The sequence below is a fragment of the Homo sapiens genome, chromosome 2, assembly GCF_000001405.40.
Source record: "Homo sapiens chromosome 2, GRCh38.p14 Primary Assembly".
Lineage (NCBI taxonomy): Eukaryota > Metazoa > Chordata > Mammalia > Primates > Hominidae > Homo > Homo sapiens.
The window spans coordinates 124,628,873-124,655,002 of record NC_000002.12 but is presented as its reverse complement, the minus strand read 5'-3'; the positions used below and the strand labels follow the sequence as shown (position 1 = coordinate 124,655,002).

Here is a 26,130-nt window from a genome sequence, read left to right as displayed (position 1 = left end):
CCTAAAGTATAATAATAATAATAACAATAATAATAATAAAAAGATGATAGGGAGCATAATTTAAGAAATAAGTAAAAAAAAAAAGTCAAATACTACCCTGATATTTTGTCTTCCAGATGTCATGATGTAAGTTTGTGGTTTTAATTCTGGTGTGGAAGAACGGTAGACACTGGGGATCAGTTCTACCCACATATTTGTGTATGTTTAGGCGTGTGTCTGTGGAGGCGGGGGGTGGTTAAGAAAGAAGGAAGGACAAAGAAAAAGATGAAAGAAAGAGGGAATTAAGAAAGGAAAGAAATATGGGAGCAGAGGTGGTGCCATAGACTGCAAAGATTGCAGCTCTCTGACGCGGACCTCCAAGCTTTGTGAGCATGGTGAAAGTGGGCCGCAGCAAGAACATAGCGGGTGAAGTAGCCAAAGCAATCGCAGCTCAGTTAATTGGGTGAGAAAGAACAGAATCACCACCATGAATCAGAGGGGATCCAAGGTGGTCACAGCCTTCCACACACAGCCCCGAATTAGAATGTGAGGTTACAGAGTGATATAAGACATGTTTCTTCCTTCAGGGAGCTCATACCTTTTTCCAGTTCACTAGGCATAGGAGATGACTTAAAATGTCTATGTGCTTAGCAAATTATTCATATGAAAATATTCATACCTGGTTTAGCCTGACTTACATAAACTGACATTACCCTTTGGATTTGAAACAGAAAGAGAATCCTCTGCTTAAAATCTTCCAGTGACTTCCCTTTACTCTTAGAATAAAATTTGCAGTCCCAGGCTTTGTAAAATCTGGCCTCTGGATACCACTTTCCATCATTTTCCTCCCACCCTTGCTCCTCCTCTAGCCACACTGGCCTTTTGGCTATTCTTCAGCCTGGAATCTTCTGCCCCAAAAAGGCACCTGCCTCATCCTGTCCCTTCACTCAGGGTCCTGCTGGATAGCTCCTGCACACTGGGAGGACTTTCCCACCACCTCATGTGAGATGCAGCTCCCCACATCCACTGATACTCTAGTCATTTGTCCTTCTGGACCTTTCAGCATCACTTTCAACATGCACTGATTGTGTGTGTGTGGCGGGGGGGGGGGGTTGGGGGCAGTGGGGGCATGTTTCTGTCTTCCCTACTACAAGTATGCAGGCAAGAACTCTGTTTTTTCAGTGTTTTATTTTCACTCCCCAGTGCCTGGCACAAAACAGATACTCAAAAATGCCTAGTGTATGAAAGAAAAATGTTAATTCTGCTAATTGATCTTGGGTGGTACAAGTATTGAGAAGAAAGCATTTTTAGTTTTGTGAACCCCAGAGTATCTTGACATACTGTTTCTTTTCTACCTGTAATTTGACTTTTCTACATCACAATTCCTTACTCAGATTTCTAAACTAAATCATTAATTTTTCACATGTGAAGGGGAATATTGCAAATAAACAGAATTAATATGCACAAGTGTATTTACAGAGCTGTTTGGACACATAAAGAGTACGTGATGAATGTATATAGCATTATGGACAAATATGACATAGCATATACTATATAGTATATACATCATATATTGTATATATGTATATTTATCCATACTATATACTATATACTATATACTATCATACAGACACATATATATTTATCCATACTATATACTATGTATTATATAGTCTAGATTATTATGTATGGTATATATAGTCAGTTAGCTGTATGCTCACTAAAGTATCAGTAATTAAAGAAAAAATTCAGAATTTTAAAATACTTTAAAATAAATAGCATGCTGTCCCTTTAAATTCCATTGTAACATGACTAGGTAAAGCAATTGACTGCAGGTAGAAACCACTCTCAGCTGCATGAATGAATTAATAGGAATGGCTTTTAACCAGCATGTTACTGGTAGGTAAACAGAGGTTCTGTGATGCTGTAGGGCTCTGGATTCTTAGGGCTCCTGAAGAACTTACACAATCCTCACGGCAATCTTGCTTCCATGACTGATTTGCTCCGCAAATGCTTTCTGTTCAGAAAAATCAAAGTAAATTCCAGCTCAGGCTGTCCTACAGCCATTAGATTTCAAAGTAATGGAGTCTGAATTTCCAGTGCTTTCACGTGTTTCAATATTGACTTCTTCCCTCTGCCTGCAAGAGGTCACAGCTTTACTGAAGAGGGTTTCCACAAACAGATTTCCATTACTTGGAGTGGTGAGTGCAAGAGGATGCCTACACCGGATACTGACACCCTAATGACGGAATCCAGTGGCGGGGGACTTTCAAGGCACCATGGAGACTATTGCAAGAGAATTGTGGGATAGGGAGGCCTTCCAATGCCCATTCCCAGCAGAGATCTGGGCACTCAGTTTCCCCATGCGGTCACTTGCTATACCCCTCTCCATCTTGTCCTCCTTCCAGGGGAAAGTTATGGGTTATAGAGCTAATTGGCCATGTGATTCAAGAATCTTCCAGACTATGGCTTTGATATTTATTTTTCTGTCCTCCTGTTTCATTTCGTATGCTCATCACATGTCGCCTTCAGGACTCTAGCCTCAGGCAAAATGCCTATGAAGGTGCTGACAAGAGAGAAAAGGTCTGGGCTCAACCAAGGTAGCCTTTTTCAGTGGGGATAAGTGTTGTCTCCTTCCCTGTGACAAGGTACTGTGAGTACTGGCAGGCTGTGGTGATTCTCCCCCCCTGGGCTCTGTACTGGAAGCTGCACTGTAGCAAAGGGCCTCCAGCCCTGCAGAAAGCTCAGAGTAGAAAGCAGCAAGCAGAGTGAGGGGAAAGACAAAGATCCATGAGAATCACAAAGACACTTTCCCTGGGATACGGATGTCCTGGTGAGACATTGGAGAGTTTCTAGTATAAACCTTCAGCTACAGAGATGGAGGATGCATTCCATTGGTTGGCACTTATCAGTAGTTCTGGGAAAAAAATATCCAAGGAGACTGTCATAAAATGACAGTGTCATGGTTCAGTCACCAACTGAATGAAAAAGGCCCAGTGGTGACCCATGCACGACCTTATCCTGCCTGTCTCTTCCTTCTCCCTCTGCCGCTGCTAAATGAATGGAACCAGAGCCCTTGCTGGAGCCGAGAGCAGGCAGAAGGAGGCTCTGGGGATGCTGTGTAGGGATACACAGGCCTTCCCATGAAGGGGTGCGTGAGCCATGGAAGGTGATGAGTCTAGGCCAGGATGATGCAAACCCTCTGATGCCGCCCAGGAATGTGCCCAGTTCAGGCAACCCTGACAACTCCGTGGCCTTCACAGAGACAGTGCTTGGTGCGCTTCTCTCTCCTTCCATTTTCCTACACAATAAGGAAATTTATACAAAATCATGTTTTTTCTGACTCCTTCATTTACTTGTAACTCTTGGCTCTTGGCCGCTTTTGTGATGTATCAGAAATAGCACTTTTGCTCTGACTTCAGGAGATTTTGGTTGCAAGAGTTAGATCTGCCCCTTTCTGTGTGGCATTAAACAAGCATCTTATTCTCTCTGAGTTTCTGTTTCCTGAAATATCAGATGGGGACAATGACTCTTATGGTGCAGATCTGTTGTCTGGGTTAGAGATAATTCCAGTAGCTCACCCCACACATATCCTCAAACATAAGAAATCTCAGTCATTATTGGCCATTTAAATATTTCTTTGTCTTTCATTTTGCCTTCTTATATTGTATCCATTTATTAACCATTGTGCATAGTATATAGGAGAATCTATGCCCACAAGGCAACCCCCACATTCTCTTATTGATTTAAATGCACCTGCAGCCATAATTTATAATTTTTCATAACGTCTACTCACCCTGGCTACTAGTTAGCAATAGCCAGTAGGCTATGGTAATCAGCCTGCACGCTTTTAAAAATTAATAACAAAACTATTTATAATCATCTTTGACTCCCCACCTTTGCACTTATCACATTACCAAAGTTGAAGGAAGATAATAGTATCTATCGCTGGGAAACGGGCACTCAGTCTCATAGTGTCGTTGGGAGTATGAATTGGTACAACCTTGATGCATTGCAGAATTCAATGTGGCAAGAGTCTTAAAAATATGCATACTCGCTGCCCTGCAAATGGCACCTCAAGGAATTTGTCCTGAGGATATAATCAGTTATGTTCACAAAGATCTAAATGCAAAACTGTTCTGCAGCATTACGTGTAACAGAGAAAAAAATGGAAACAATCTACAGGTCCAAATAGGAGATTTGTTCATTGGAGTAGCTCCATATAATAAAATACTCTATAGTTAATGAAAATGATGATATGAAGTTGTATTTATTGATAAAGAAAGGTATTTGTACATTTCCTGTGTGTGACAAATACAGGCTGTAAAAGAGTATCACAGGGTCGGGAATCTCTTCCCAGCATAGACCACAGATTCATCTGATAAAGGAAAAACTTGCACAAACTTCTTCCAGAATCTTAGATAGGTAAGGAGGAGATGGCCTCTATCCTCCTCTGCTTCTGTCCTTGGGCTTCCTCTTGGGAAGGGAATGAGTGGCTTAATAATAATAAGGACCAGGAAAACATTCATGTAGGTGTATGCCCTGGATGCTGGCTGTTGAATCCATGTGGCTACAAATGTTATATATTGTTTTTCCCATTCCTGCTTTTCCAGACGGTGAGCTCACATGCATGGGGGACGAGGTGGCTTCTGTCCTGGCAGTGAAAGTGTGAAGCTAAATCACACCTCTACGGGACTGTCTGGGTAAATGAGGACTCTCTTGCCCCACAAGCAGTGTCTAGTCTGGAGGTGGAAGCCAAGAGGATGAAGTGGTTCATGCTACATTCTCCAAGCCAGCTCACAAGAAGAAAGTAGACACTGAGCCTACATACCCATTGTTCTCCTTTATCTCCCTCCTTTTGATTCAGAGCACATGGGGAAAGACGATTAATGAAGACCCTCATGCACAAAAATATGGTGTGTCTTCCTTGTGCCTTTGAGAATATACACATGGAAGAATGTCTGGAAGGATTCACATCTGAATGTTAAAGTTGCCATCTTCAGGGGATGAGATTATCTACGTTGAGTTTTCTAATCAATTCTGTTACTACATAATTATGACAATTATTCTATTTACATTGTTAAAATAGAAATAAAATTTCCCTTTGTGCTTGTTTCCCATTATGGAACAATTTTGGATGTTCCCTGCTGCAATGGAAGCTACGAATAAGGACACCAGTATTTGTTGAATACCTATTATGTACCAGGCATAGCACAAGGAGTTCAGACTAAATTTTTTCTTCCATCCTCAGATCAACTGCATGGGTTCAGGATTTTCATGCAAACTTTTCAGGTGGTGAAATCGAAACTATAGAAATTGAGCAACTTGCACAAAGTCACATAACTGGTAAATGACAGCATCAAGCCCTTACTCCCAATATGACTTGCTGCCAAACCCGTGCCCTCCCACTCAAATAAGGCCAGGGACAGTGAGGCAGCTGAGTTAGGAAAAGAACACATTTGCAAAGTCAATGGTGTAGCCAAATTGATATCACGGAGTGCGTATCCTAAAAGAAGTCCCATAGTCAGAATGAACATGCCCCGCCATTAGTCCTACAATTCGGCCAAACCGAAACCTTCAAAAACTAGAAACAACGCAATGAGAAGAGGGAAGGGCATTTCTGGAGACAGGCACCCTGAGAACTGTGCTGAGGTAGCACGTGCAGGCTTGACAGACATGGAGAGAGAAACACACATAAATATAAACATTGACTCTGGCAGGGCAGCACCCTCTGAGGATGCTGGGTAAAGGGACACGAACCAGTACGTCTGATCTAATCAGCCCTGCAAGCCTGGCTGAATCTAAGGAGAGTACAATAATTGATTTTCACAATGCTGATGCTGAGTCACCAAGAAAGGTTACATTTTATGTTCAGAATTCTCTGGTTAAGAAGGCATGGAAGCGTGTAATCCATTTGAGAAAGATTTTCATTTCAAATAGTTAAAAATTCTTTGGAAAGATTTTTGGTGCTTAAAAGGATAAGTGACAGTTACCTGGAAAATTCAATTACGTGGAACAACGTCTTCCCTGAAGATCCTAGATCAAGGAGGCATTCTGTTGAATTTAGTTAGGTTTCTATGATTTCCCCTTTGTTGATATTTTATTCTCCATTTTTTCCCCAGCCTTTCAAAGTTCTTAACTTCTAAGTGCTGGAATGTAAGTTTCTTGAGGCTAGAGATTATAACACCCTTTCTTAGATACTTCAGATCTTTTGTCCTTTTTTCTCCCATGAAACAAATGATGAACTGACATTCACAAAAAAATGACTGACTCCCAGGAAACATGTAAATTTTGATGAACCCTATCTTACATTTTACAGAAACTCTTGAGTCTTAGTAAGCAGTTCTAGAAGTTGTTTTTGTTGTTGTGTTTTGTTTTGTTTTTTTTCCTTTTCAAAGCATGTTAATAACTAAATCATCCATTTACTGTAAAAAATAACCATGGGAAAATAAATAAATTCATATGCAGTGTTAGTTTAATTTTTTCTAGAAGCACACTTTACTTATAAAAAGAGTCATTTCCCCTAAAGCCCCTATTTCTCAGGCTCCGTTCATGCCATGAACCCACAGGTTTGCCCTGCCTATCTTGCTGGCCTCCCTGCCTAACACTGCCCCCTTAGGCATCCAGGCATCCTCCACCCCAGACATAACTCATCCCTCTCGGGTGGGTGTGCTGAGATCCTGGTGCCTTATCAAGCTCTATTCTCTCTCCCCAAACTAGCATTTCCCATGGCCACACTTTCTATGTCAAGCTCAAATGCCCTCTTTGAGGCCCATTCCTCTTCAGATGTTCTTCATTCTCACAACTGTTGCAGGGTGGGTGTTGGAATCGTTTTCTTTATGATGAGGAGAAAACTTTGAAAGGTGACAGAACTCACTCTAGCTTCCATGCTGAATTTCAGAGCCAGGATTACTACATAACCAGACCCCTCTTGTTGTGTTTCTCTCGAGTGCACAGTGACTAACTGTAACTATAGCCCCCTTCTTGGCAAATTTTCCTTTGCCTAATACTCCAGGTCTGAGGGTCCCATCTATCCCACTGTGGTCATGCATGCAGAGGCCTTACCCGGCGTGTTGAGCAGGCGGGACCTCCTGCAGTGGTAGGCCACCTCCTGCTCACAGTGCTCAGAGCCGTCGATCACGGCCTCCAGCTGTTCCATGCTGCCCCCGTAGTCCAAGGCCATGGCATAGGGCTTCTCAGGGTTAGCGCCCCGCACTCGGGTCAGCTCTGTATTGTTGTGCTGCACTGATGTCCAGATCTTGTCCTCTGCCCAGACAACACAACACAAAGCAAGAGACGTTAGAAGCAATGTCAAAAATGGAGCATGTGAGCAGTGTGATGGGCCACTCAGCGTGCAACATTAATCAACACTCCGGTACCGTATGGAGAGTAGGACAGAGAAATTGTGTTTCCCCATGGAGCTCCACCAGAGTTAGGATGGGGGTCAGTAATCTTAAGAGCTCAATTTGCGGAGCCCTTTTCCCACAGGCTCTACAGTAAGCATTTAATCCCATGATCTCAGTTAAAATTGACAATGCCTAAGTTGGAAGTGAAGCAATACCGCTATGTCAAAAATGAGGAAAATGTGAAAGAAAATTAGGCAACTCACCCAATATCCCACAGTTAATAAGTGACTAAGCAAGGACTTGAGCCTAGGATGTCTGACTCCAAAGCTACTGACACACTTCCTCACAAGAGAAACACTAGCATGTTTTCAGAGAACCATTTTCTCAGAGAACAAGGTTGAGATTGTGTGATCCACACTCTGCATGCAATGAAGTTAATTGTAGGGTTTTGTTTTGTTTAGTATTTATTCCCCGTATTACCTCTCTTTGCCAAAAATATTTGGGAAGATTTACAATGAAAGATGAGGACCTTTAAATCATGACGGAAGGACATATTTTGCCTAATAGGCGAAAGAAGGTAAGGCAGTGAGAGAGGGGAGATATTTGGGCATTAGAACATGGGAGATCTGTATTTGAAGCCTGTATCTGCCAAGAACAAGCTTGGATAAATCACTTCCTTTTATTAAAAAAATTTTTATTTTTAAAGAGACAGGGTCTCTCTCTGTTGCCCTGGCTAGAGTGCAGTAGGGTGATCATAACTCATTGTAGCTTCAAATTCCTGGGCTCAAGCAATTCTCCCACCTCAGCCTCCCAAGTAGCTGGTACCACAGGCATGAGCCAGCGTGCCCAGCCCCCTTCTCTTTTCTGAAGCTTAGTTTTATAGTCAGTTAAGAAAACAACAACAATTGCAACAAAAACAAGAGAGCAATACCCTGGTAGCACTGGTAATATGGAAAAGCAACCACAAATACAAAGTTGCAAGGCTCTATCTGGGATGTATCAGACACTCTGTAGTAATAACCTAGGCTAAAACATTTACTGCAATTGGACATGCAATTTAATTCTGAACATCCTCTCAAATACAGCAAAAGAGGAAATAGGAAGACTTGAAAAGCTTTTGTCATCTGAGAATCTTGCCCGCATAATTACATCATTACTCTTCATAAATTCTGAGAGCTGAAAAGGAATCTAGCATAGAAATCATGTGGTTTCTTCCCTCCCCATCCTCTTAGCCTTACAAATGGAGAAACTAAGGTCCAGAAAGTAAAGAAATGACCCGAGGCACATCCATGAAACAGTAATGATGAGCACATACACTGAAAGTCACCACGATTAATTAGCACAGCTACAAGGCAGAAGCACAGCAGTTGGCATGACTGAGCTGAAAAGAGAAAAGAATAGGCCACTTGGGTGCCCTTGGTTAATCCTTTCTCCCTCACTAGCTCTGTACACAACTTGGGACATGTCGTTTCATCTTTCCAAACCTTAGTTTCAACATATTAGAAGCAGGAGAAAAAGAGAGTATGATTTTAATTACCTCTAAAGGATTTTCCAATTCTATAAAAGAAAATACTTCTTCCAGCATGATATGGTTTGGATATTTGTCCCTGCCCAAATCTCAAGTTGAATTGTAATCCCCAGTGTTGGAGATGGGACCTGGAGGGAGGTGTTTGGGTCTTGGGAGTGGATCCCTCATGGCTTGGTGCTGTCTTTGCGACAGTGACATCTGGTTGTTTAAAGTGCATGGCACCTTCCATTCACTCTCTCTCTTGCTCCTGCTCTTGCCGTCTGAACTGCCTGCTCCCTCTTCACCTTCCACCATGATTCTAAGCTCCCTGAGACCTCCCCAGAAGCTGATGATAGATGCCATCACCATGCTTCCTGTACATCCTGCAAAACCATGAGCCAATTAATCAAACTCCTTTTCTTTCTAAATTACCCAGTTTCAGGTATTCCCATTTAGCAATGCAAAAATGGCCTAATACACAGCAAAAAATTAAACTGTGCTCAAACATTCTGACTTGTCTTAAGACTATTTCCTAAAACCAGCCCATTGATAACCCACATGTCCCCAGTGTTTCACTGAGGCAAGGTTATATTTTATTGTTTAGATACAGGGGCTTGCTATGTTGCCCAGGCTGGAGGACAGTGGCACGATCGTGGCTCACTGCAGCCTTGGCCACCTGGGCTCAAGCGATCCTCCTGCCTCAGACTCCCAAGTAGCTAGAACCACAGGTATGTACTATCACACTCAGATAATCTTTAAAAAGTTTTTTAGAGATGGGCTCTCATTATATTGCCCAGGCTGGTCTTAAACTCCTGGCCTCAAACAACCTGCCAAAGTGCTGGGATTATAGACATGAGCCACTGCATCCAACCTAAGATTATATTTTCCATAAAGTCTAAACAAGTTGATGTTATTTGCTTTTGACTTTAAAAACAAAAATAAGACATAATTCATGTTGGTAAAGATAATAATATTATAAAAACAATTAACCCAGAACTTTTAAAATGTTATTCATACCAGTATAGACAAATGCTGATAAAATAACCAAAAATCTTATCCATCAATAATGAAACATTGTAGAGGGAGAAATAAAGATGGACAGTTTTGAAATGTCCATGATGTTTATACAAAGAAGACAAGGAAAACCCTGTCTAATCTATAATACTAAATGTTGTGCTACTGGTTTATTCCAGCACATTTAGCATATATTATCTCCAGTACTCACAATAATCCACCACACACAGTGTGTGTGTGTGTGTGTGTGTATGTGTGTGTGATCATATGATATATATAACTGACATCACAACCCTTAGCTTCAAACACTGTACGAGGGACAGGAGAAATGATTGCTTGAAACCTAGAGCCCCTGAGTTGGCTTTTATTTTGAATCTGCCCTATGTCCTCTGATTACTGTTCTCCTGGGAGACAGCAGGATAAAGACTGAAACAAGGAAGTAAATGTATATCATTTTTTCCACCTGTATCATCTGTATCTGTCTCTTAGACTTGTCCCCAGTCTCAGTGCATCCAATCTGATTCCAAAATTGGTCTCCATATTTACTAATTCATATAGATTTATATTTCCTTCTAAGTAAACATAGATTTTCATATCCATATATTAATTCATCTGATTGTTCATACATTCATTTATTGATTTCCTTATTCATTTACTCATTGAATTGCTTTACCAATATCATATTGTTTTTGGCAATAAAGAAAATAAAGTTGTATTAGAGAGTCAATCTTTCATCTTAAAGCCACTAATATTATTGCCATAATATTTTTCCTCGCTTCCTATCTTTTCTTCCTCAGCTGCATTGGTGGTTGTGTAGATTTAGCCCTGCATCCTGACTAAATATTGAAAGGTCAGGTGTTAATGCCACTGAAAGAAAGTCAGCTGTGGTGACAGATACTCCTGATGCCTGCTCTAGGCTAGGGAAGGGTGGTTTGAGCTGGAGAGGTTTATGTGACAGTCATCTTTGAATGATTTTTTAACAAGCAAAATTCATTTTGACCATCCTTTAGATGGGTGAGGAGGTGGAGATTCTCTTTTAAGTGGACTCACACATGACTTCAATGAAAATTGGACCCACAAACTTAAATGTTCAAGATGGTCAAGTTAGTTGGACAGTGGAGGTTAGTGAACAAAGTATGGGCTCTGGAGTCAGCAAATCTGGGTTTGTGTGCCAGCACAACACTAACTGTGGGAGCAACCCTGATGAAATTATTACTTCTTCAATGCCCAGTTTTCTTATTGGTCATATTTGAAAAGCAGCAATGGCACCAATAAGACCATGAAACAGGTTGGCTTTAGAAACAATCCTATTCGGATTGGAATCTATGTTCTGCTCCATGTCAGCAGTAAAGCTTTTGGCAAGTTTCATAACATTTCTGAGGTTTCCTCATTGGAAAATGGTCATATTTACACCAATCTTTGCATCCATAGAAGTATCATAATGATTTGGTGCACATAGACTGTCTGGCACTCAAATGAGTAAAGACTCTAAGCATTAGAAGTTTTCTACAACATTAGAGTGAGGGCTTGGACTTCATTCCTTAGAGGACTGCGATGGGGAACATACTCTGCAAATGAGGTTAACAAGTGCGATGGACTGTGATTTCTTGTAATATAGCTGCTCCTGTATATACTAAATTATTACCACCTTGTTAAGTTTTTTTTTTCCACTATAGAATTGCCCTATGTATCTCTGTCTTTATTTGTGTCCTTTGCATTTCCTGAAATTCCTTCAAGATAATTTGCTCTTTAGTACTCATGGAGCCAGAAACCTGGAAAAATATTGCCCTCTGATACTACTTTTTGCTACCCAGTTTGTTTTTCTCTTTCATTACTTCTACTGCACACCACTACCCAATCCCACAATTAGACACATAGCCTCTTCTCTTTCACTGCTCAAAGGCATACATGTATTGACTAACCCAGATCAATTCTTTTACTTAGGAGAGGACTGCATTTGGAGATTTTTGAATAGGCAGGAACCTGTTCATCATTAGCTGGGAAAGGAAATAGGGCCACTTCACTAAGCATTCTGGTTCCCTGAAAGTAATAGTTATCTAAGTGAAATATTGGCTTTTTTAAAGTTGCATTCAGCACAGTGGGTTGGCATGAGTGTCAATGATCTCATGATTCAGATCCAGAGCAGCTATCATGCCTTCTTCATGTAGAAAGGAACTATGAGTTATGGGCCATCAAATACTGTGCCCCATGGCTTCCAAAGGCAGACTGTGTATTGATATATAAACCAGTAAAGTATTTCCCAAGTTGCATTGTGATTTTGAGCTTTCAAGTTCATTTCTTCATAAAGCTATGAGATCTTTTAGGACATGAAATGCATAATTCATTTTTGTGTTTAAATATGTGCCCAGTTAGTGCTCTGCTATCCACCAGAGTACATACACTGGAGGAAAATATGTTAACTTCTCCAAAAGCCTACCATCATCTGGGGAGAAAGTTGTGTACACAAGAATGACAAATGTCTGAGGCTGTTATAAATACTCTGTAGACTACAAGTAAAGGAAGAGGGGCTTTCCAGAGATCTGTCTGGGGCAAAGTTCATGGGTAGAGGTTATTAGAGAGCCCTGCGCAGTGAAGTCTGTGCACTCTTTTCCTTGAGAACTTCCAAGGTCAAGAGTGGTCTTTCATCCTCAGGCTACCAGAACCTAAGCTAGGACTGAGCACCTGAGTTAGCACTTCTGGATGGCTTCGTCAAGTGAAGAAACTAATTAGTCCTTTGTATACTGTCAGGTTCTTAGTTTCGGCATTTCTGAAGCTGCTCTTTTAAGCCTGTATTATGTAATAGTCCAAACTGAAAAGAAGTCTCAAGTTAAAAGATCAAAACACACACATACACACACACGCACACTCAACAATAACAAAAAGAGAAAAGAAAAAGAGGCTGTACAAAGAGCCAGCAGAGTAGTAATGGTGGAATATTCTGAAACATTTTGTATTCGCATCAGTGTGGTAAAATCTTCCCTGGTCATTACCCCAGAAAAGCTCCCAGACAGCCTTCACTAGTGCATCTCTGTGTGACCTACCTTGTTCCTCTGGCTCTCATTTTGGAAGCCGTAAACAGTTTACATACAGAGCCACAATTTAATTTTCTTTCATATTTTTTCTCTCATCATATCAGATTGGTCTGATTATGATGATCATTATTATTAATAATAGTAATTACAGACGCTGTAAGCAATTCCATCTGTTACCATGGGGATCACAACTCAGAAGAAATAGCAAACAAAAGGAAAGTAAAAAAGGAGACACAAGAAATAACTCTGATTAATAAGACCTCATTCTACACACATATCTGTCTCTTTGCAGAGCCAGAAAAAAACTGCAATTTTTATATCAATGTGCTTGGAAGGAAGGGAAGCCTACAGATTGTCAATACCCAGCTTAATTGAACTGAAATATCTGTGGGGAGCTGCTTCTCATCCTTTGAACAGTGTGCCAATTCACTTATACTCCTATTGTAATAGAGCAAGTCTATATTAAGGTCCCCAGGGTCACTTCTGCTGTAGTTATCTATGTTGACAAAGTGAATTTTCTATGCCAAGGGTAAAGACAGTTTAAATAATCCTCAAAGTACTGTCTCTACCTCTCATTTTCCATCTACTCATTGGCAATCTTGTGATATCTCTTGTCATTTTGCATTGATAGTTATTTAATTTTTCATATGTTTCTCCCTTATCTCTCCATTTAAATCATAGGTAATGACTGCTAGTAAATATAGGCTTGGAAAGGGCTTCATGGTTCATGGAGGCAGATGTGATGAGGGGAAGCTTGAGCTTTGTCATCATTAGGGCTGGCTTCCAATGCCAGCTCTGCCACCCACTGGATTCCTGGACATGCAAGAGACCTATCACCTCCCCCAGCCTCAGTCTCCTCCTCTGTAAACGGCATAACTCATTGTGCAGTGTTGTCATAAACACTGAATAGAAAGCATAGGGTTGAACTGAGCGTGGTGCTGGCTCTGAGTGGTGCTCCTCCGTCCTTTTTTTTGTCTTTTTTTTTTTTTTTTTTTTTTGAGATGGAGTTTCGCTCTTGTTGCCCAGTCTGGAGTGTAATGGCGTAATCTCGGCTCACTGCAACCTCTGCCTCCCGGGTTCAAGCAATTCTCTTGCCTCAGCCTTCCAAGTAGCTGGGATTACAGTCATGCGCCACCACGCCCAGCTAATTTTGTATTTTTTAGTACAGACAGGGTTTTTCCAGGTTGGTTAGGCTGGTCTTGAACTCCAACCTCAGGTAATCCTCCTGCCTCGGTCTCCCAAAGTGCTGGGATTACAAGCGTGAGCCACCGGGCCCAGCCTGCTCCTCCTTCCTAACCCTTCACCTGGTACCTGACTCCAAGTCAAAGCTGATCTGCTATGAACCGTTCTGTTGAAGCGAAGCCGGGAGGATGTGAAGAGATTATTTCATTATTAGAAACACTTCTGGGAACCTTTACTGAGGGGGTACATTGCACCTTCCCCCCGCCCGACCTTTAAAAGGAAGGGAGACAATTGGTGTAAAGTGATTTCCAATTCCTTTAAAAGGCTTCAGAAATCCCCCAGGAGCTGTTTTCCCTCCCATGTGTACCAGCCCAGCTGTCTGTGCGAGAATCCATCCGTGCCTCACTAAAACCACGGCAGACGTGGCTGCTTTTAGTGTCTGGGTTTCAGCTGTTTGGAGGTGTGCGCATTACCGGTTCAGGGTGGCTGGTAGGGCTACCATGCGCTCTGCATTAGTGCCATGCAGACACCGCAGCGTGGCGGGCTCCGTCCATTACTGCCTTCCACCTGCCTGCGTGGGCCACACTTTACGACTTCCAGACAACATACTTGGCTGATTTATATTCACACTTCACTTTAGCCTTTACTTTTTATGTATCTTTTCAGGGGGGTAATTTTTCTCTTTTTTCTTGCTTTAAAATAGGTATGATCAAAGAGACCTGGGAAATTTGTTTTATGGTCTTAGGGGGTAGTGGTGTGGAACGGATTCTATGTGCACTGTATCATATTTGTTTATTTGTTGTTCACTAGTTTATTATTATTATTTAATTTAGACACCTAGTGTATGCAGAGCACTATGTTAGGGACTGGAAAGGGGTCGGATGAGGGGTGCAAGTTTCGCTAACAGGCTGGACCCTGAGCTCAGGGAGTTCACAGCTGGTTCTAGGAAGGCAGACTGCCTTGTGTTGCATTCCTGTTGGGAAGAGTATCTGCAGCAGCAAAGGGGGGAGTGGGTGGGAACAAGATACCATTCCCCCCATACTCAGTGTATTGGCATTTGGGGCAAAGGAAAAGGAGAAAAGAAGCCCTAAGTCTAAGTCACCTGATGGAAAGAGGACTGTGAGGCTGTTGATAAGTGTTTTGATTGCCATTAGAAAGCTTTATGAGGTCATTAGGAGTATCATGGTCATAGAAACTATTTTGGTGCACACTGAGGATAAGACTGGGGACCCACATAAGTACATAATGTACTGGAACACAAGTTCATAATAAACAGTTCTTGTGTTTGTTGTGCTGTAATAGTATAAGTATAATAGTACTTGTTGTCCCTCTGTTTATAAGATCTAAAGTAGCCAGTATTGAACTCAGAGGACGTCATGAGCTAGTGAGCTGATTGCAAAGGGCTAGCCTTTGTCTTTTGAAGAGATATCCAAAGGCAGCATTTATATCTCCTTGTACCGGGTCAGAAAAGAAGAGACGCCTTCTCTAAGGGTGAGAGCATCTACTTACTCTGCTCTCATGGAGCTTATATTCTGATTCTGGAGGGGATTGACAAAAAGAAAACTCAGAGACAAGAGCAGAATTACTCATCTTTCTTTCAGCTGACATCTCTACTCTGGAGCTCATCACAAGATGAATGAGATTGTGTGATGCTGGTGGCCTCTCCAACGGGTGGTCTTTTCCAGTCCTGCCAACATCCCGTGCTCGTCGCATTTACATGGTATTACAACAACCTGTTTCCTCAGTATCCCATGCTATACTGCAAGTACTACATATGAAAACCTGTCTCAGAAATCTCCGTGTCTCTAACATATGGCCTAAAGTAGGTATTCACTTACTACTAAACACTTAACGGACTACCAGAATTTTTATCCACTTCAGTGACAGCTTTTGAAATCAGCATGAAAGTGACACATGGTGGGAAAGGATGTTTAGATACATACTTGAAATTCCGCTGTGCAGCCGAGGTTATATATTGCAAATAGCGGAATATTGGAAAAAAATTAAATACACATCCATAGGTGTCTGATCGAATAAAGCATTGTTAACTGACACAGTAAAGTACAATGCAGCCATAATAAATAATACATAAGATCTCTGTAAACTGATCCAGAATGATTTCCACTGTATATTGTAAAGTGACAAAATCAAGGTATTGATGCACAAAAGAGTATGATACATTTTGTGAAGGTACAAAAGAGAAAAATGAATACACACAGAAAGGACAAACTGATATAAATAGTTATCTAAAAAAGTTGGATAAGAACAAGATGAAGGCAATAGGAATGAGAGCAAAATGTCTCTGATCAGCCAGTGTGTGCATATTTGTCTGTATTTGACTTTTGTAACATGAAAATGCTTTACACTGTTAAAATCAAAAGGATAAAGAAAAGGCAAGTCCAAAAGTTGAATATTAATCAGAAACTAAAAAGCCTAGCTGTACATTAAATTGATAAAATAACTATAAAAAAGAAAAAAGTTAATTTAAGCAACTTTCAAATAGTATTCTGTCTCACTATATACCCTTGGCAGAATAAATTCTAAGGATAAAAATTAAAATTCAAGGAAATCTTTAACTTTACATTGTTATTGATGTGATATTGCTGAAGTAATTCTGAAATGATTGTGTGCATACTGCAGAATGGAGCAAATGGGTAAATATACTGACATTGCTGAAACAAGGTCTCACTGTGAGAGAAGTTACATATATATGTATCATATATATGTATCATATATATGTATTATATATATCTCATATATATCATATATATATAGAAGACAGAATGATGAGAAAAGAATCTAATGGAACTAGGTTTGTTTTGTAAATAACCTTATGAACTCATAAACACACACACACACATACACGCACACACACACATGCACACACACAATTTTAGTTCTGCCCACTGAAAGGGCCCAGAAACAATGAGCAAACAAACATCTAGGTCTTGGTTTCCAAATACCATTTGCTACAAAAAAGAGGTAGGCTTCTTTAGGAAAAGAGCTGAGTCTGGTTCTAGGGTAGGGAAAGTTCTAGTTGACATTGAGAATATCTTTCCATGCAAGAACACAAGAAAATGCTCCAATATTAATAGACACATGTAAAAAAGAAACTGGAGCAGAATTAAAGGGACCATGAATTAGAGTCCATAACGACACAAGGGGAGATGGAGTCAGGGAAAGGGAAAAAAATCTCTTCTGTAGGTAAGACTTCAGAATGGCAGCAATAAATATGAAAGGAAATTGTAGAATTAGAAAAGCAACACGTCACAGATTCCAGTGTAATAACTTAAAAGAGTCAGGATCCCTACCATATTGGGAGGAAATGTTGAGGAACAGGGCATTCACATAGTGTGCTCACGTAATACTACAGATAACTCACTCACTGGTTGTAAACTGCCTTCACAATGCAACGATCTGGCAGAGCTGTGTTAGCCAAATGATAGCGAGAAGCATCCCCAGTATCGGGACAAACTGATGTCATGTGTCTGCTCACGGGCTGCACTAAAAAGGCAAGCATTGTTCATGAGACTTTCTGGCCAAAATGTTCTACACTGATTAAATAATCAGAAATATCCAAAGTATGGGATATTTTATTTAACAACTGTCTTTTAATCTCCAGAAAAGATCAATGTCATGAAAACCAACCAACCAACAACAACAACAAAAGCAAAAAGAAGGGGTCAGGGAGTTGGGCCTTCCAGATTAAAGGAGGTTGAAGGGTCGTGGCAATCAATTCCAAATTGTAGACACTGCTTGAATTATGAATAAAAATATGAAAATAGACACTGCTATAAAACACATTGTAGGACTTTGGATTCTTGGTGCATGGACTATATATTGGATAATTAATTTAATTAATGCTTATTTTCTTATGAATGGTTTCTTATGTCTGGTTACATAGAAGAATATATTTGTTCTTAGAAGATAAAACCTAAAGTCTTTCGATTTAAATTATCGCTGTGTCTACAACTTACTTTCAAATGGTTCCGTAAAAATTTTTTTAAAATGTCTGAGAAAATGAGGAGAGGAGAAAAAGAGAAAGAGATGAGGAGGGCACAAATTTGCAAATGTGGCAGAATCGTAAACGTGAAGGGTATCTGGCTACTCATTATTTTTTCAACTTTTCTGTAGGTTTGGACATTTAGGAATAAAACTCTGGGAAAACAAGATAGTTTGCCAGAAAGTTTCACATGTAGTAAGTGCTGAAAATTATTCTAAGCTCCAAAAAATTCACATGCACATGCTTTTATAACAGCACCAACACATACACACACAGACACACACAGACACACACACACAGAGTTAAGGAGTAATTGGCAAAATAATGACCAGAAAGCTATTACTAAATTTAAACTAAATTACAATCATTATTAAATTTAACCATTTACATTATGGTAGATCATTCATGTTCAAGTATAAGTAGTTATTCACTCTGTTGAATTAATTTTCATGAGTGCTTTCATTGTGTCAGGTGTTATGCACACAAAAAAAGTTACTAGTCATTATTTTTATCACCATGTCCCCAGAAACACCAAGAAACCAGAGTCTATATTTCTGGGGACAGAATAATGAAAATAATAACTAACAGTATCTACCATGCATTAGATATGTAATGTCAAGTCTTTTTTCTTGCAGTTTACATCGATTACCTCATAGAAGCTTCACAACAAACTTATAAATAGATTCTATGATTAATTATAAAGGAAGAAACTGAGGTATAAGGAGGCTGGGTAACTCAACTAAGTCAAATAATTTGCCAAAAGTAGGAAATGTGAGTGCTGGGATTCCTACCAAGCCCACACTCTAAATAACTAACTTGGTAGATGTTTTTCAATTACAAGCATAAAAATTGTGACTTTCAAAGGAGCTTTACATGAGAACAAAATGACAGCATACTCTAAAGAGGGAGAGCAAAACTTCCTGTAAGACATAAAAGTTAGACTACTCACAGCTAGCACTGGAAAACCCATGTTGAAATTGTCCCTATGGACAGCAATCAGTCAATGTCTCCTACTTGCTTCTCTTTACAAATAGACATAAATATGAGAACTCAAACACATGCACACTGAGAATGCAGGCTGATTGGTGTTCCTGTGACGTGAGCCTGCTCAGGAGGAATAGTAAGAAAAAGCTCTCAAGCAAGGGGTGCTTGGCCTGCCTACTTCCCAGAACAAGGACCACAGTCAATCTTGGCCCTTTTATTCTTTGGAATGTCTAGACTTACTTTGATTCATCATCTCTCCTTGGAAACTGGGGCTCAGAACAAAAGTGAACAAGAGCAAGCAGGCTTTCTGGGAGACACCTTTGACACCCATTTGTTATTTTCCACTTCCAAACAGGAAAAGTATTCATTCAGCCAACATCAGACCATCAGAACACCCAGGGAAGTCAGGAGGACTTGATGGACCTTCTCATTGCATCTCTGCATTCATGATCCTGCTGAGCTCAACAAGGCTTGTCTTTCCTCCGGTTTCCCTTCTTTGCCTAGCCCCATGATATGGTTTGATCTGTGTTCCTACCCAAATCTCATGTTCAATTGTCATCTCCAATGTTAGAGATGAATCCTGGTGGGAGGTGACTGGAACATGGTGGCAATTTCTAATGGTTTAGCACTATCCTCCCGAATACTGTTCTCATCATAGAGTTTTCATGGGATCTGGTTGTTTAAAAGTGTGTAGCCTCTCCCTACAACCTCTCTTTCTCCTGCTCCCACCATGTAAGTCATGCCTGCTTTTCATTCACTTTCCATTACGATTGAAAGTTTCCCGAGGCCTCCCCAGAAGCCATCATACTTCCTGTACAGCCTGTGGAACTGTTAGCTAATTAAACCTCTTTTCCTGATAAATTACTCAGTCTCAAGTATTTCCTTACAGCAGTGCAAGAATGGACTACTGTAGAAAATTGGTACTGGTAATGGGGAATTTCTCTAAGGATGCCTGGAAATGTGGAAGCAACTTTGGAATTGGGTAATCAGCAGATATTGCAACAGTTTGAAGGGCTCAGAAGACTACAGGAAGGTGCAGGAAAGTTTGGAACTTCCTAGAGACTTGTTAAATTGTTTTGACCAAAATTCTGAGTCATATGGGCAATAATATCCAGGCTGATGAGATTTCAGATGGAGATATGAAATTTATTACGTGAGGTACAGTGGCTCACATCTGTAATCCTAACACTTTGGGAAGCATAGGTGGATGAATCACTTGAGCTCACGAGTTTGAGACCAGCCTGAGCAACATGGTGAAACTCCATCTCTATCAAAAAAAAATTAGCCAGGCATGGTAGTGCATGCCTGTAATCCCAGCTACTTGGGGGGCTGAGGCAGAAGAATCACTTGAACCCAGATGTCAACACTACTGTGAACCAAGATCATGCCACTGCACTCCAGCCTAGGTGACAAAGTGATACCGTGCCTCATTTAAAAAATATATGTATACACACACACACACACGTGTGTGCCTGTGTGTGCATCATATATAAAAAGAAACTTATTAGGAACTGGAGCAAAGGTCACTTTTACTATGCTTTAGTAAAGAACATGGTAGCATTGTGCCCCTGCTCTTGGGATCTGTGGAATTTTGAATTTGAGAGTGATGATTTAGAGTATCTGGAGAAAGACATTTCTAAGCAGCAGAGCTTTCACGATGTGGCCTGCTTGCTTTTAACAGCATGTGCTCATATTCATGAGCAAAGAAATGACCTGAAACTAGAACTTATATTTAAAAGGAAAGCAGAGTGTAAAGGTTTGAAAAATTTGCAGCCTGGCCATGTGGTAGAAAAGAAAAGCCCACTTTCAGGGAAAGCATTCAAGCTGGCTGCAGAAATTTGCATAAGTAAAGAGGAGCAGAATATTAATATCCATGACAATGGGAAAGCCTCAAAGACATTTCAGAGACCTCCATGGCAGCCTCTCCCATCACAAGCCTGGAGGCCTGGGAGGACAGAATGGTTTCATGGGTCGGGACCAGGGCCCCACTGCCCTGTGTAGCCTGGAGACATTGCTCCCTGCATCTTAGCCTATTCAGCTTCAGTGTGGCTTAAAGGGACCCAGATATAGCTTGAGCTGCTGCTTCAAAGGGTGCGAGCCATAAGCCTTGGTGGTTTCCAGGTGGTGTTAAGTCTGAGGGTTCACAGAGTACAAGAATTGAGGCTTGGGAGACTCCAGCTAGATTTCAAAAATTATTTGGAAAGCCTGTATGTCCAGGCAAAAACCTGCTCCAGGGATAGAGCCCTCAAGAAGAAGCTCTACTAGGGCAGTGTGGAGGGGAAATGTGGAGTTGGAGCCCCCACACAAAGTCCTTACTGGAGCACTGCCTAGTAGAGCTATGAGAAGAGGGCCACCATCCTCCAGACCCCCAAATAGTAGATCCACTAACAGCTTGCACTGTGAGTCTGTGAAAGCAGCCACAGAGGCTGTACCTTGCAAAGCCGGAGGGGCAGAGCTTCCCAAAGCCTTGGGAGCTAGCCCCTTGCACCAATGTGCTCTGGAGGTGAGACATGAAGTCAAAAGAGATTATTTTGGAGCTTTAAGGTAATGACTGCCCTGCTGAGTTTCATGGTGCCTGTACCCCCTTTCTTTTGGCCAATTTCTCTGTTTTGGAATAAGGCTATTTACCAAATGCCTATAACCCCATTGTATCTTGGGAGTAACAAATTTGTTTTTCATTTTACAGGCTCATAGGTGAAAGGGACTTGCCTTGTCTCAAGTGAGACACTGGATTGAGGACTTTTGAGTTAATGTTAACATGAGTTAAAATTTAGGGGGACTGTTGGGTAGGCATGATTGTATTTTGAAATATGAGAAGGACATGAGATTTGGAGGGGCTAGAGGCAGAATTATTTGATTTGGAGCTGTGTCCCTGCCCAAATCTCCTGTTCAATTGTAATCCCCAATGTTGGAAGTGGGGTCTGGTGGGAAGTGACTGGATCATGGGGTGGGTTTTTAAATAGCACCATTCTCCTAGTGCTGTTCTCATGATAGAGTTCTCATGAGATCTCATTGTTTAAAAGTGTATAGCACTTCCCTGCCTGCCTCTCTTCCCCCAGCTTTGGACATGTAAGACATGCCTGCTTCTGCTTCCCTTTCTGCCATGACTGAAACTTTTCTGAGGCCTCCCCAGAAGCATCATGCTCCCTGTACAGCCTGTGGAACTATGAGCCAATGAAACCTCTTTTTAAAAATAAATTACCCAGTCTCAGGTATATTTTTAAACAAACATTTTATTGTTTTTTTTTTCAAGTTACAGGGTACATGTGCAGGATGTGCAGGTTTGTAACATACATAAACATGTGTCATGGTGGTTTGCTGCACCTATCAACCCATCACATAGGTATTAAGCCCAGCACGAATTAGATTTTTCCCCTAATGCACTCCCCTCCCCCACCTCCCCTAACAGGCCCCAATAAGTGCTGTTCCCCTCCCTGTGCCCACGTATTCTCATTGCTCAGCTCCTGCTTATAAGTGAGAACATGTAGTGTTTGGTTTTCTGTTCCTGAATTAGTTTGCTGAGGATAACAGCTTTCAGCTTCATTCGTGTCCCTGCAAAGGACATGATCTCGTTTCTTTTTATTGCTGCATAGTATTCTGTGCTGTTTATGTACCACATTTTCTTTATCCAGTCTATTATTGATGGGCATTTGGGTTGATTCCAATGTCTTTGCTATTGTGAATAGTGCTGCATTGAACATATGCACGCATGTAACTTTATAATAGAATAATTTACATTCCACTGGGCATATACCCAGTAATGGGATTGCTGGGTCAAATGGTATTTCCAGTTCTAAGTCTTTGAGGAATTGCCACACTGTCTTGCACAATGGTTGAACTAATTTAGATTCCCACCAAGAGTATAAAACCATTCCTATTTCTCTGCAACCTCGCCAGCATCTGACTTTTTAATAATGCCATTCTGATGAGTGTGAGATAGTATCTCATTGTGGTTTTGATTTGTATTTCTCTAATGATCAGTGATGTTGAGCTTTATTTTCATGTTTATTGGCCGCATGTGTGCCTTTTCTGAGAAGTGTCTGTTAATATCCTTTGCCCACTTTTTAATGGTTTTATTTTCTTGTGAGTTTGCTTAAGTTCCTTGTAGATTCTGGATATTAGACCTTTGTCGATGGATAAATTGCAGAAATGTTCTCCCATTCTGTAGGTTGTCTGTTTGCTCTGATGATAGTTTCATTTGCTGTGCAGAAACTCTTTAGTTTAATTAGATCCCATTTGTCAATTTTTGGTTTTGTTGTAATTGCTTTTGGCAATTTCATCATAAAGTCTTTCCCCTTGCCTATGTCCTGAATGGTATTGCCTAGATTCTCTTCTAGGGTTTGTTAGCTTTGGGTTATGCCCTTAAGTCTTTAATCCATCTTGAGTTGATTTTTGTATAAGGTGTAAGGAAGGGATCTAGTTTCGATTTTCTGCATATGGCTAGCCAGTTCTCCCAGCACCTTATTAAATAGGGAATCTTTTCCCCATTGCTTGTTTTTGTGAGGTTTGTCAAAGATGAGATGGTTGTAGACGTATGGTTTCATTTCTGAATTCTCTATTCTGTTCCATTGGTCTATATGCCTGTTTTTGTAGCAATACCATATTGCTTTGTTTACTACAGCCTTGTAGTATAGTTTGAAGTTATATAGCATGATACCTCCAGCTTTGTTCTTTTTGCTTAGGATTGTCTTGGCTATGCGAGCTTTTTTTTTGGTTCCATATGAATTTAAAATAGTTATTTGTAATTTTGTGAAGAACGTCAATGGTAGTTTAATGGAAATAGCACTGAATCTATACATTGCTTTGGGAAGTATGGCCATTTTCATGATATTGATTCTTGTTATCCATGAGCATGTAGTGTTTTTCCATCTGCTTGTGTCCTGTCTGATTTCCTTGATCAGTGGTTTTTAGTTTTCCTTGAAGAGGTCCTTCACTTCTCCTGTTAGCTGTATTCCTAAGTATTTTATGTTCTTTGTGGCAATTGTGAATGGGAGCTCATTCATGATTTGACTCTCTGCTTGTCTTTTGTTGGTGTATAGGAATGCTTGTGATTTCTGCACACTTATTTTGTGTCCCAAGACTTTGCTGAAGTTGCTTATCAGCTTAAGAAGCTTTTGGGTTGAGTTGATGGGGTTTTCTAGATACAGGATTATGTCATCTAAAACAAAGACATTGATTTCCTCTGTTCCTATTTGAATACCCTTTATTTCTTTCTCTTGCCTGATTGCCCTGGCCAGAACTCCCAACACTACTATGTTGAATAAGAGTGATGAGGAAGAACATCCTTGTCTTGTGCCAGTTTTTAAGGGGAATGCTTCCAGTTTTTGTCCATTCAGTATGATGTTGGCTGTGGGTTTTTCATAAATGGTTCTTATTATTTTGAGGTATGTTCCTTCAATACCTAGATTATTGAGAGTTTTTAACATGAATAGATGTTAAATTTTATTGAAGGCCTTTTCTGTGTCTATTGAGATAATCATGTGGTTTTTATCTTTAGTTCTGTTTATGTGATGAATTACATTTATTGATTTGTGTATGTTGAACAAGCCTTGCATGCCAGGGATGAAACCAACTTGATCGTGGTGGATAAGCTATTTGATGTGCTGCTGGGTTTGGTTTGCCAGTATTTTGTTGGAGATTTTTGTATCAATGTTCATCAGGGATATTGGCCTGAAGTTTTCTTTTTTGTTTTATCTCTGCCAGGTTTTGGAATCAGGATTATGCTGGTGTCATAAAATGAGTTAGGGAGGAGTCATTCCTTTTCAATTGTTTGGAATTGTTTCAGAAGAAATGGTACCGGCTCCTCTTTGTACCTCTGGTAGAGTTCAGCTATAAATCTATCTGGACTTGGGATTCTTTTTTTTTTGGTTGGTAGGCTATTTATTGCTGCCTCAATTTCAGAACTTGATATTGGTCTATTCAGGAATTTAACTTATTCCTGGTTCAGAATGGGAGGTTGTATGTGTCCAGGAATTTATCCATTTCTTCCAGGTTTTCCAGTTTTTTTTTTTTTTTTTTTGCATAGAGGTGTTTATAGTATTCTCTGATGGTTATATTTCTGTGGGGCCAATGGTGGTATCCCCCTTATAGTTTCTGATTGTGTTTATTTGAATCTTCTCTCTTCTTGTTAGTCTTGCTAGCAGTCTATCTATTTTATTGGTTTTTTCAAAAAAAAAAAAAAACAGCTCCTGGATCCATTGATTATTTGAAGGGTTTTTCATATATCTATCTCCAGTTCCACTCTGAGTTTGGTTATTCCTTGTCTTCTGCTAGCTCTGGGGTTTGTTTGCTCCTGGTTCTCTAGTTCTATTAGTTGTGATGGTAGGGTATCAATTTTAGATCTTTCCCACTTTCCGATGTGAGCATTTAATCCTATAAATTTCTCTCTTAATACTGCTTTAGCTGTGTCCCAGAGATTCTGATAAATTGTCTCTTTGTTCTCATTGGTTTCAAAGAACTTCTTGATTTCTGCCTTCATTTCATTATTTACCCAGGAGTCATTCAGGAGCAGGTTGTTCAATTTCCAAGTAGCTGTGTGGTTTTGAGTGGACCTTTCAATCTTGAGTTCTAATTTAATTGCACAGTGATCTGAGAGATTGTTTGTTATAATTTCAGTTGTTCTTCATTTGCTGAGGAGTGTTTTACTTTCAGTTATGTGATCAATTTTAGAGTAAGTGCCCTGTGGTGCCAGGAAAAAATGTATATTCTGTTGCTTTGGGGTAGAGAGTTCTGTAGATATCTATCAGGTCCACTTGGCCTAGAGCTGCATTCAAGCCTTGAATATCTTTGTTAATTTTCTGTCTCCGTGATCTATCTAATACTGACAGTAGGGTTTTAAAGTCTCCCACTATCATTGTGTGGGGGTCTGAGTCTCTTTGTGGGTCTCTAAGAACTTGTTTTATAAATCTAGGTGTTCCTGTATTGGGTGCATATATATTTTAAATAGCTCCTTTTGTTGAATTGAACGCTTCAGCATGATGTAATGCCCTTCTTTGTCTTTTTTTACCTTTGTTGGCTTAAAGTCTATTTTGTCAGAAACTAGGATTGCTACTCCTGCTTTTTTCTGCTTTCCGTTTGCTTGAT

General features: G+C 40.3%; 1 protein-coding gene across 3 annotated transcripts in view; it reads right to left on the bottom strand.

The window, feature by feature from the left end:
* The window catches only part of CNTNAP5 (contactin associated protein family member 5), an 895,933-nt gene that overhangs the window by 266,217 nt on the left and 603,586 nt on the right, over window positions 1–26,130 (bottom strand). For all 3 annotated transcript variants that reach the window (NM_001367498.1, XM_017003316.2, NM_130773.4), the window contains exon 13: window positions 7,045–7,245. In NM_001367498.1, the coding sequence (NP_001354427.1) occupies window positions 7,045–7,245 (201 nt within the window). The remainder of the gene's footprint in view (window positions 1–7,044; window positions 7,246–26,130) is intronic.